At 36.7% G+C, this 12,729-nt stretch overlaps 1 long non-coding RNA gene across 1 annotated transcript in view; it reads left to right on the top strand.

The window, feature by feature from the left end:
• The window catches only part of MACC1-OT1 (MACC1 3' UTR overlapping transcript 1), a 221,446-nt gene extending 209,158 nt beyond the window's left edge, over positions 1-12,288 (top strand). The window contains exon 6 of the long non-coding RNA NR_110114.1: positions 12,009-12,288. This is a non-coding gene — a long non-coding RNA (MACC1 3' UTR overlapping transcript 1). The remainder of the gene's footprint in view (positions 1-12,008) is intronic.
• The last annotated feature ends 441 nt before the right edge of the window (positions 12,289-12,729 follow it).

Raw genomic sequence — 12,729 nt, 5'->3', positions numbered from 1 at the left:
TTGAACAGACTTGTCGATACTCTCTTGGAAAAGTATTTTTAAAAATAGAATTGAATATTTTTAAACTTTCATCCCAATAGAAAGCTAAAGTTAATGAGGAAACTTGGATTCATTTCACAAAACGTTGCTTGTAAGCTATTTTGCTTGGCTACATGTTCCCTGGACAAACCCAAAAGACTGGTATAAATTCCAATACTGTCACTCACAGTATCACAAACTTTTGGTGACTCAATCGCTTTACCTTTATGTTGTTCTTTCTAGGACCAGTTTCACAGAGGTTATGCCATTCTCAGATTTCTTAGAATTGGTCAATCTTAGGTCATTTGACTTGAGAAATCCTCAAAGATTTTACTGTTTTAAAGTATTAATACATCCATCACCACAAAGGAATCAGTTAATGTGCTGTTATATCTCAAAGAGGTTACAGTACCATCTTCATTTTTCTCAACAGCCTCCTCTAAATTCTATTCTTTCTCTTTGCCTTAAAAATCTACACAATGAAAGAGAGCACAAGGAAAGTCTCCCGGGAAATACAGGGAGAAAAAAATTAATCAAAATGTCCAACAACAGATTATCCAATAATTTATGATATATCAGGACATAGAATACTATACAACCAAGAAAAATACTAATGTACTTATAGATCTATTTATATTAAAAAAGTTAATGATATATATTTTGTGTATTCCATATTACAAGCACTAGGCTAAGTCCCAGATATATCATGGTGAGCAGGAGAGACTGGAGCCCTGACTTTCTGAAGTTTTGAATCCAGTGGGAGATACTAACAATAGATAAGTGAAGAACTACAACCATAAAAATTATTATTAAAAAAAACCACGTGCTGGAATTTCTGAAAAAAATAAGCATGCCTATATTCAAATATGTAATGTAAAAAATAAAGGTATGCACAAAAAAGTCCATAAAGGTACAAACAAAATATGGGCAGTAGTTTCCAGTGGCTGCTGGCAGAACAGGCATCAGGAAGTATGCATGAATGTAGTCATGCAGAAGTTATCTAAAATCCCTGCTGACTGATCAGTACCCATGCCACACTGGTTATTATTAATACATACTTGGGATATCACCACTGGGTGTTAGTATTCTGGCCAATCCTTACTTCCATTATGTTTTCTAGATTATCTAATTTTTAAACACAATGCTTTATTATTTCATATTTAATTATAAAACATTTTAAACATACACACAGTAGAGAAAACATTCACTTTTTTTTTTCTTTTTTTTTTTTTTTTGAGATGGAATCTCTCTCTGTCACCCAGGTTGGAGTGCAATGGTGCGATCTTGGCTCACTGCAAGCTCCGCCTTCCGGGCTCCCGCCATTCTCCTGCCTCAGCCTCCCGAGCAGCTGGGACTACAGGCGCCCACCACGACGCCTGGCTAACTTTTTGTATTTTTAGTAGAGACGCGGTTTCACCGTGTTAGCCAGGATCGTCTCGATCTCCTGACCTCGTGATCCACCCGCCTTGGCCTCCCAAAGCGCTGGGATTACAGGCGTGAGCCACCGCGCCCAGCCAGAAAATATTCACTTCTTTATTCGACATATAAGTTTAACAACAGTTAAGGAATTGACATTTTTGTTTTAGGATTTTTTTTAATGAAATTATCATAGATAGAGCTAAATTCTTAAAACTTAATCCTTTTTTTTTCTTTTCCTCTCCTTCCCATGTGTAATCACTTCTCTAAAAATATGCTGATTTTATGTTCTAATAAAAAGGGCTTTAAAAATCAATATATAGTACAGATATAAAAGTCTGAACCACCAAAAAAGTAAAGAAAAAGAAAAGCAAGGAAAAAAAAAGAAAGAAAAAGAAAAAATGAGGCAAAAACCGTGGAGTGATGAGTAATTGTTAGGAGAATGAAAGAGAAAGCTTAACTTTACAAAAGTCCCTGCTGAATGAAATGGTCAAAGTAATTGTAAGAAATCACAAAAAGCATGTTGAAAAGCTCAGAATAGCCTTAAACTGCAAAACTTCCTGCAGCTTGAGAGAACCTTCCTGCTGAATTACTAAATTTTAGAAATATAAAAATAAACTAACCACTGAAACATCCAACTGTTGTAAGAAAGTTCTAGATTCAAAAATAAACAGAAGCAAAAGCATCGTTTAAGAAAGTCCTTTGAAGAAATCCCACACTCATAATTTAAATGAATGCTCAAATAAATGTTGTTATTAACTTTTTTGAGTGTCATCAATGAATCAATCACTATGCTAGTACTCGTTTTAGAAGATGAGTAGAAAATAATCTTTTCTTCAAGGAGTTCACAATCCAGTTAATAAAACTTATTAGATGACATGGCGTCTTTCTTTTCTCATATGTTCCCACTACTCAGAGAAGAGTTGCATATAATAGGCATGAGGGGTATTATTAAATGTTTAATAATTAGCTCTCTAAGGAAAACAAAAACCCGATTTGCAGCATTTTCCAATTTCCACGGCATTAATACTACCCCCATGGTTGATTTCAGGATGACATTATATTATGAAACATTGTATTTCTTTTTGGAAAGAAATACACACCAGAACACTAGATTCACCAGAGCTAGCTAGCTCAAGCATTGAACAAATATTTGTTCCATGAAGACAAACAGTATAATAATTTTTATAAAAGAGGTTGCTTTAACATATGACAGAAGCACAAAAAAAATGATCAGATCTGTTGGAAGGGAGGGCTTAGGTATTTCAAAGTCTTTTCTGAGGTGATCTCTGAATTTTTTTTTCCACTACAGCTATGTTTCATTTATAAGTTTCACTAGAGTCACTGTTCTCAAAGAGGGTACAAGATGACTCAGTAGTGGTAGTAGGAGGTTTGTATTACTGTTTCCAGTATTTTTAAAACAGCAATGCTACTAAACAATCTACAGTGAACAGGACATCTCCCCACACCCCTCCAGCAAAAACAACTGTGCAAATTGTCAAATGTATCAACAGTGCTGAGATTAAGAACCCCTGCACTGGAATAACAGAGAAGAATCTAGATGAAGGGAACAGCTGGTGCAAAGGCAATGAATAATGAAAGAAAAGTGTATTTTTACCTGGGATACTATGGAAACAAGCTGAGACTCAAAAACAGTGTTTTCACAAAGCTTTTAAAGAAGAGTTTTCCTATATTAGAATAACTCTATGCTTTCCTAATTTCATCTTTTATAACAATAACATCTTTTCATAACAATACACTTTCACTTCTTGTCTTTTGGTGTTTTCCTTTGTGAATCATATTTGCTTTCTCACATCCCATATTGTTTCAAAAATGAAGTTGCATCCTTAACTTTTTCCAACCATTACATACTTCCAAGAACCAATGGATCATCAAAATTAAAATTTAACATTGTGCTTTGCAGGCTTTAACTTACCTATAATGTTTCATATTACATAGAAAAACCTAAGTACCACTAAACATGATACATGATACATGATACATGACGGAAACAGAATGAGGGAAAGATGTATTATAATTATTTCTGGGAAAACAAAAAGATGCAAATATAGATACAGGTCTTTACATTGTTCTATTTTGAGAAAACCAGATCTCATAAAAAGTTAAATTGTGATGTAATCTTTGGGGTTTGAAAAATATCTTTAAATTATGAAATCTCACAAGAAGATTATAGTGAAAGCTGTAATATATATACTTGTATATTGTCACTACTTTTTCTTCTTTTGAGAAGTGATTTGGCAAGTAATTTCAAGATCGATTTTAAAAAAATCATGTTTGTAACCCAAACATTAGCTTCTGGAGATTTATCTTAAGTAAATAAAAAGAATAAAAGTTGCATTCAAGAATTAAAAAAAAGAGAGATTACAAAAAGAGGAAAAACCTCATTTAAAATCTCCAGCCTTTCAGAAAAATCCAAATTCTACTTAAATGGTAGTCCCCATTAGTTAATATTAGGCATATAACAGAAATGGTACATGGTATTAAATGCTAATTAAAGACCAAATTCAAAAAGGAGGGGAAATGTATATCGGAATGGAAATTAGATAGTCATTGTTCTTTGGTACAGTAGTTTCAATTAAGTGCTGAAACCAAAGGATATTATTTAAGGTAGAGTAATGGCAATTGCTTTGTTTTAGATTCCCTGTCTCCTCTCCCTGTAAAATGTTCCTACTTGCCTCTAGTAAACCTGTAAGCGACCAAGCGCTTTGGCTTATTCTATGAAATAGAATATGTAATAGCCAAACAGCATCTTCTACTTCAAGCTAACCTAAACATTATAGCCAGTGTGGAACTTGGAATCAGTCAGATCCAAGTGTAAATTTCATCACTGCCACATACTGCTTGTGTGATCTTTAGCAAGTTCCAAAATTCTAAATATGCATTTCCTCATTGATAGCATACAGTCCTAATAATACCTAATTCATATAAATGTTGCGAGGACAAATTCAAATAGCATCCTATCCAAAACAACATAATTAGAGAGTAGCTTATAGATGGGACTATTTAGCTTAATGTGGACAAGTTAGCACCTCTCTTTGGGTTGAATTTTTTTCTGGAAGCATTAATAATATATCTATTCAAGCTAATAAATATTTATTGAGCACTAAGTTACAAAACACTTTGCTGTATGTTAATTAAGATTAATAATAAACATGTGTCATACCTATGATCCAATACATTAATAACATGATGTGACAGTAACTTTCATACTGGTAAAGAAAATAAGAAAGATGGTCGGGCATGGTGGCTCACACGTGTAATCCCAGCACTTTGGGAGGCTGAGGCGGGCGGATCACAAGGTCAGGAGTTCGAGACCAGCCTGGCCAATATGGTGAAACCCTGTCTCTACTAAAAATACAAAAATTAGCCGGGCGTGGTGGCTCACACCTGTAATCCCAGCTACTCAGGAGGCTGAGGAAGGAGAATCGTTTGAACCCAGGAGGCAGACGGAGATCGTTGCAGTGAGCCAAGATCGTGCCACTGCACTCCAGCAAAAAAAAAAAAAAAAAAAAAAAAAAAAGGAAGAAAGAAAGATAATAGAAGTTTTTTTAAAAAGGAGTGATTTTATTAAGGGAAAGTTTTCATGAAACGTCAAACTGAACAGTAGAATAACTATCATTATACATATGAGCCAATAAAATAGAAGCCATAAATAGGTACGTGAATCTTCTCTTGGGACATTCCTTATGAAGAAATGCCTCTATATTTATCTATGTGAACTGATGGTAGGTAGCTAAGGGAAATATTTGGTGCACCATCTCTGAAATCAGCAGATGTGGTGTTATCATAAAGCTGAATTATCCTAAATAATAATTGCTTAGCATCTTTTAAGTATTTTTTTGAAACAGATGAAATAGTGAATTAATATTTTCTGATCTTTGGCTACCCCTGGGCCAATAATATTATAAATTATTTTATTACCAGTTCTATGATATATAAGTTCTGGGTGTTATAGTTCCTAAAATGTTCATCATTAGTTCTCATCTTGGCAGCCTTTTATAATATAAGGAAGCCAGTGCATCTTACAGAGTCCTAGTCATGAAGCAGAACATCAATACTGGCGAGCTAATGCATCATCTCAAGCCAAGCTCAACACATCAAGCTTGCACCATCAAGCACTATCTTTATCAGTCTCCTTTAGCTGTATGCCCAGTCCAACACACAACAGGAAATGGTAGGAAGGCAGGTAGAAAGAGAAGATGCAAACAGGCCATTAACTTTCAATTTAGAGATGATTGTCTTTGAGCATTAAGGGGGGTTGACCTTATCTTTCCCTTATGAACTCTTAGTATGCTTTGAAGTATAGCTCACTTTAGTATTGTAAATTATTTTAGTATTTTCAACAGCTCCTGAGTCAAGGCCTTCTGGATTTGGGTAGCCTCAAAGCCATTGGTGTTCTCCTCTTTTTTCTTGAAATTATGCTCTATTTCTCCCACACCATCCACTTTTTCCCTCTTCTGCATCATCTAATCAGCATATGGTAGTTCCTCCTTTATTAAAGCAAACAAATCCAGAAATTCCACATAAACTTTCAGCTACTATAAGAATTCTATGTTCTCTTTATAACAAAGCTCCTCAAAAAGAGGTATGGATACTTCCTTACACCACTTCCTATCCTCCTACAACCTCTTGTTTCCTTTTTAAAGCCCCTGGAACAGGCTTTAGTCCCCAGTCCTCCACTGAAACTTCTCATTAAGAACCTGTAAATTGCCAAATGCAATGGAAACTTTTCATTTCTCATCTTGCTCAGCTTATTGCAAGCATTTGATATAATTCACCATTCTCCTTTTTAATATAAAATTTTCACTTGTTCTCTGGGATACCACATACTCCTGATTTTCTCCTACATGAATAGTCTCCTCTACTTCCTTCCCTTTTCCTTTCCACTTCTATAAAATGGACTGCCCCAGGATTCAGTTCTTGGGTATTTCATCCCTAACTACAATTACTCCTTTTGTGATCTCCATTAACTTCACAGCTTTAAATACCATATACGTGCAGTTAACATACAAATTTATGTAATCAGCTCCAACCTCTTTTCTGACCTCCAGATGTATATATTCAATAACTTTTTGAAAATATTCTCTTGAATGTTTAGTGAGCATCTCACATTAAATATCCTCTGCAGAGAACTCTTGATTACCACACTCACTCCAAACTTGCTATTCCTCCAAACTCCCTAATCTCAGTAAATGTCATACTGCCATCTACCCAGTTCAAGCAAAACCTTAGTGTCACTCTTGAACCCTACCTTTATTTTAGATCCTACATTTAGTTAATTAGTAAATCTTGTTAATTCTTTAACTTTAACGTATTTTTCTAATTGAACCCCTTCTCATCTACTCCAATGACAACACTCTAAGCCACCACCACTTCCTGCCCAGTTTGTAGCAATGCCTTATTAACCAGTCACACTGTCTCAGCTCTTGCAAACTTGTAGTGTTCTCCCGCATACAGCAGTGAGAGGATACTTTAAAAAATGTTAATTGGATCATGTCATTTCAGCACTCAAATACTAAAAAGGTCTCCAATCTCTCTTAGAACATAATTTGAATTTTTGAATTTTTACCATGGCCTGATTTTTTTTTTTTTTTTTTGAGACGGAGTCTCATTCTGTGGCCCAGGCTGGAGTGCAGTGGCATGATCTTGGCTCACCGCAACCTCTGCCTCCCAGGTTCAAGCGATTCTCCTGCCTCAGGCTCCTGAGCAGCTGGGATTACAGGCAGGCACCACCACACCCAGCTAATGTTTGTATTTTTAGTAGAGACGGGGTTTCACCATGTTGGCCAGGCTGGTCTTGGACTCCTGACCTCAAGTGATCCACCCGCTTCAGCCTCCTGAAGTGCTAGGAATACATGCATGAGCCACCGTGCTTGGCCTTTACCTAATAAATACATATTCCAGCCATTGCCTATAACCGACCTCATTTACTATTGCTCTTCTTACTTGTTCTGCTCCAGCACTGCTGGCCTCCTTTGGCTTTCTTTAACTTGACAAGAATTTTCCTACCTCAGAGGCTTTGCATTTTTTTATATCCTGGGTCTGAAATGCCCTTGCCCCAGATAGTTCCGTTAATCACACCACTCACTGCCTTTAGGACTCTACTTAAGTATCAGCTCCTCAAAAGGGTATCCTTGAGAACTCTATTGGAAATAGTATCCTTCCCTCACACTCTGATATTTCTTCCTAACAGTGATCATTTCCTGGATGTATAATTTATATATGTATGTATGTATATGTATAAATTTACATTTTTAACAATAAATCTTTGGTCTTCTACATTCAAATTTAACCCCTTTGAAAACAAGGGCATTTTTGGTTTTGTTCATTTCTTTCCCCAATGCCTACAATTGTGCCTAACCTAGAGCAGGGATTGAATAAGTAATTATTAGATGAATTAAGTAAAAATATCATGAGGCCTTTATAGTTATTGCCTCCTAGGTAGAGACTTCAAGTGGCTGTGCGGGAGCATTTTGCATGCTCAAAGAAAAGCTCGGCCGGGCACGGTGGCTCACGTCTGTAATCCCAGCACTTTGGGAGGCCGAGATGGGCGGATCACGAGGCCAGGAGATCGAGACCAACCTGGTTAACACGGTGAAACCCCGTCTCTACTAAAAATACAAAAAATTAGCCGGGTGTGGTAGCAGGCGCCTGTAGTCCCAGCTACTCTGGAGGCTGAGGCAGGAGAATGGCGTGAACCCGGGAGGCGGAGCTTGCAGTGAGCCGAGATCGCGCCACTGCACTCCAGCCTGGGCGACAGAGCGAGACTCCCTCTCAAAAAACAGAAAAGAAGTAACAAAAAAAAAAAAAAAGAAAAGCTCACCAGACTTCAACATTGTCCTCACACTATCATCAATTGTTGAATCCACTCAACTGAAGAAACCTTGTCCAGTGGAACGTTGCGTGATAATGAAATATTCTCTATCTGCACTGCCCATTATGATGGTTACTACCCACTATTTTAACATTTGAAATGCGGCAGGTGCCACCGAGGAGTCAAGTTTCTAGTTAATTTTAATTTTTTAAATTTTAACTTAAGTAGCTCCACACTTGACTATCAAACTGAGTATCACAAGTCTAGATCATAGCGGGCAAGTGATTGCCTGCCTTAACTAACCTTGGGGTGGGCGTTTTCTAGTAAGTAATAAGTAAACCTATGTTTCCTAATTTCATTGTCCCATTTTTTGCAGTTATGTATGTTTAGCACATCTAAATAAAACAAAAAGAAAATACAAAACGTCTCTTTTTAAATGTGCTCAAAGCAGAAGTCCAATTTTCCAGCATTGGAAAGATGCTGTTGGCAGAAAGCTACCTTGCAAATGAGTATTAGGCAAAAAAAAAAAAAAAAAAAAAAAAAAAAGCCGGACACAATTGCTTTCAGTAGAGGCAGTCAGTAAAGCCATAGATTCCCACTTAATTATACTTTGCTTGCTTTCTCTACAGCCAGTGCTCACTTGAATCTCTGGATGTACATGCTTTTAGTGAGCAAATGAAAAAGGAAATACAGAAGTGAATATTTATTTAGCATCCCCTCTACAAAAGTAGTTCGTTTTTGCAATTTGACACAATATAATTTTAAAAATATAACCCTTCCAAATAAAGGGGCCAACAAGTATATCTCAAATAACTCCACTCTATATTTTAATAAAAATACATAAATTTTTTATAAAACAGTATTCTTTAGCATGTAAAATAAAGAGAAAGCCATATCTAGATAGCTTATTTTCATACAGAGTGAACACAGAGCAGACAAATGGTATGTGGTTCTCTTTAACCCTTTCACTCCATCCAACCTATTACAGCCTGATCTACCTCCTAAGGAAACAAATCAGAGGGTATCCAAGAGTGGTAGAATTTATGTCAGACATTCTAGGTTTCTCGCTTTAAATCAAGGTGACTTACCATTCACCAGATAACTACTCTAAATATTATAGATCAGGGTTCTCAATCTCAGTACTATTGACAATTTGGGCTAGATAATTCTTTCTTGTAGCAGGGCTGTCCTACACATTGTAGAAGGTTTAGCAGCATTCTTGGCTTCTAACTGATAGATGCCAACAGTACTCCCCACCCCACCAAGTTTTGATAACCAGAAAAATCTCCAGATATTGCCAAGGGTCTGCTGGCGGTAAAAATCACCCCAGGTTGAAAGCCAAGGAAACAGAAGACAGTGTAGTGTATCACACTCTACTTTCTTCCTTTATTTACCTTGATTTTGACCTTTTAAGTTTCCACTCTTCTCAACATCATGCAATTCACTTGGACCCAAAAAACATCTTTAATTGGTTTCGTTTGGCATTCTCTTCTACTCAATTTTAAGCTTGCCTGCTGATGTCTCTACCCCAGTGTGAACACCTTTCCCTGAATATTTAGCCAGTGCCTTAGATTGTGGGGCCTATCCTCAGGGTCGACTTTCTTTCAATTTACTTACTTTCAAAGTGGAAATTCTCATTCCTACCCCAACTGCTTCAAAGGTTTGCAAAGTTTAAATAAGATAACAAATGTTAAAGTGCTTTGAAAAGGTAAAAACCTTTTTCTGCAAATATATTTAATAAATGACCGTAACAGTAGGAATGTTTCTTACTCCATGGAAGCCTGTAGCAAGTTACAGACAGGTAAAGGCTGGTAACTCTCAAACATAACTACCCCATTAGTATACATTTTATAGTGAACATGGCAGCAAAGTTCAACTCAACTCAAAGTTCAACCCAAGTACCAAAGTCAAATGAGGCTTATGCACTACCTTGGGGAAAAATATTTTGGGTCGCTGGATAGCTACCCAAAGAAGTGTTGTAGCGCTGGATTTTAAAGGTCTGCAAACCCTCTCTCCTGTCCTGTTGACTCCCTCGGCCCCTTACCATTTCCTCTTCTGGTCTTAGGATAGAAAATGAGGGATACTCAGTAGAAGCACCAGGGGGCGGAACCCAGCATGTGATTACGCCTCGGCTTTCTAGCCAGGCACAGTAATTTCCCTCTTGAGGGAGTAACCACTTCTCTACCCATAACCTTTAAATCAGCTGCACCATACCCCTGTGCACTGTGTGTGAACTTCTGTGTGCATGTATGTGTGTACACACTAAGAATCGAGATTCTTTTAGGAATTTGGGGATTGCAGGAACCAGAGGATCAGGCATTCCTAGAACCCATTTATGATTTTGTAAAGAAAGAGGAGAAGACGATTTCCCTTTAAAGGTCTATTTCACTGTGAATGGTGGTTAAGAAGTGCCACCTAGAACCTCGGCACATGTGAAGTAGGACCAGACTTCTCTAGTCAAGAAACTGAACAGGCACTGCTAGCAAGGCAGGAAACGTGAACTTGACAAACCACGTCTGAGCTTGCCAAGAGGCTTAGCCTTTATTTCAGGGTCAGAATCTTGTCTTCTTTTATCCAACTTGGAAACGAAGAAAATATTTGCGTAGTATTCAGATGTATCATCCTTAAGAATGTGAATATTTAAGATAATGGATCAAGTAGAAATAGGTCAAAAGATATAGCACAGAGTTAAAAATAGCCACCACAGAAAATGTGTTTGCATTTGGCGTGGTGCCTTTTCACACTCATGTAATTGGCCATTTGGCTCGCTGTGTAAAGCAGCCAGCTTCCCTCAGCTCTGGGATATGGGGGTTAGGGTACTCTGTTACTTTCCCCAAACCACATAAATAGAAGACCAAATTAGTTATTTCTACAGTTAAAGCTAAAATTCCCTTCCTTTCATGTCAATGATGAGACTTTCTAATGTGAAAAAATTACCATTACTATCAGCAAAGGAACTATTCTCTCTTGAGGCTTGTTGTTTTGTTTTGTTTTAATTTGCGTATTCCCTCCTCCCTCCCAGTCTCTAGACCCCCTTCGTGGATGGTATCAGATGATTTCAGTCCAACCTTCCATTGCATTCTCTGACTGAGCCAACACAGCTGGATTCTCAGCCAACTATGAAGTTTAAATTGGTAACTCCAAATCTGTTCTATAAATTTCAGCAACAGCTGATTTGGCCAGAATTTCAGTGTTATCTCCATGCCTGAATTTCAACAAGAATAAAAGAAAAATAAGCGGGCTCTGATGATTTACTTAAGAGAATGTACAAAGAACCATCACACTCAAGATTTTTTCTTTTGAAAGATTATTCCTATAAATATTTTTGCCCCTCTAGTATTGTTTCACAATTTATTATGGCTATAGAGCCAGAAATTTTGCGAATGGCTTAGGAAACTAAGTAACTTTGTAACTAGACAAGTACATAAAGTGAACATACTGTTCTAAAAGAATAATTATATATTGGAGGGTTTGAGCTCAAGGAATAAAGGATTTTATTTTGTTTGTAACAGAGCCAAAATCAGCATATGCTCGAGTAATCTGCAGGAAAGACAGCAGGGTTATGGAAAAATTATATATCTATGATAACTAGTGAACAGAGCTTATTAAGAACTAGGAATCTGAGGGCTTTATGAAAAGCAATTCAGAGGGAATTCTGGCATGTGTCCAAACGGATATGACTTTTCTAAGGAGGGCTATGGGATGTCAGTTGTTTTAAATTACTATGCTTTCTCTCTAGACTCCGCTTTCTGTCTCTCTGAAGATAACGTTAAGCTGCAGCTCCGTATCTGTGAAAACCCATTTCACAGCATCTGCATCCCTGGATTGCTAAATACCCTTGTCTAGTTACCCAAATATTAATGGATCCCATGGAATAAGGTGGCATGATTTAGGCACAAGCAATTACCAAAGGATTTTGAAAAGCAGTAACTCCAAATTATCTTGTAAAGTTGAGAATAATCTGAGAAGAGCTATTGTAAGACTGGGAATCAAGTAACAAAATAAAGATATGAACCGTCCATTGGTCTATTTATTTACTTGTTTTAAAACAGGGAATACTTTTAAAATTTAGTTATGAATATAGTTTATATTTTTAAGGGACACAGATGATGTATAAATGTGATAATTCTGTACCTCACAGTCAAAACAGATATTTTGTAAACAAGGATTCTGGGTTACCAGACCTCCTGAAAATGAATGACTTTTGTTGTTATATCCACTTTTCTATCATTTCTCCTTTTCTGGTAACACAAACCTAAAATTACCTGTTCATTCTTCATTACCCCCAAAATACTTTTGATCTACTTTCCCATCATAGTTAACCTGGTTATCCAACATGTAATGAAATTAACATTTTAGACAAATAATAAACAAAAAAATGAGAACAGATTAAAGAAATATAAAATGTAAAGTTACCCAGAGACTTACAGGATGCTAAACTTTTAAATAGAATATGATGT

Source organism: Homo sapiens, chromosome 7, assembly GCF_000001405.40.
Source record: "Homo sapiens chromosome 7, GRCh38.p14 Primary Assembly".
Classification (NCBI taxonomy): domain Eukaryota; kingdom Metazoa; phylum Chordata; class Mammalia; order Primates; family Hominidae; genus Homo; species Homo sapiens.
The sequence above is the reverse complement of the archived record's forward strand: the minus strand, read 5'-3'. Positions and strand labels throughout refer to the sequence as shown.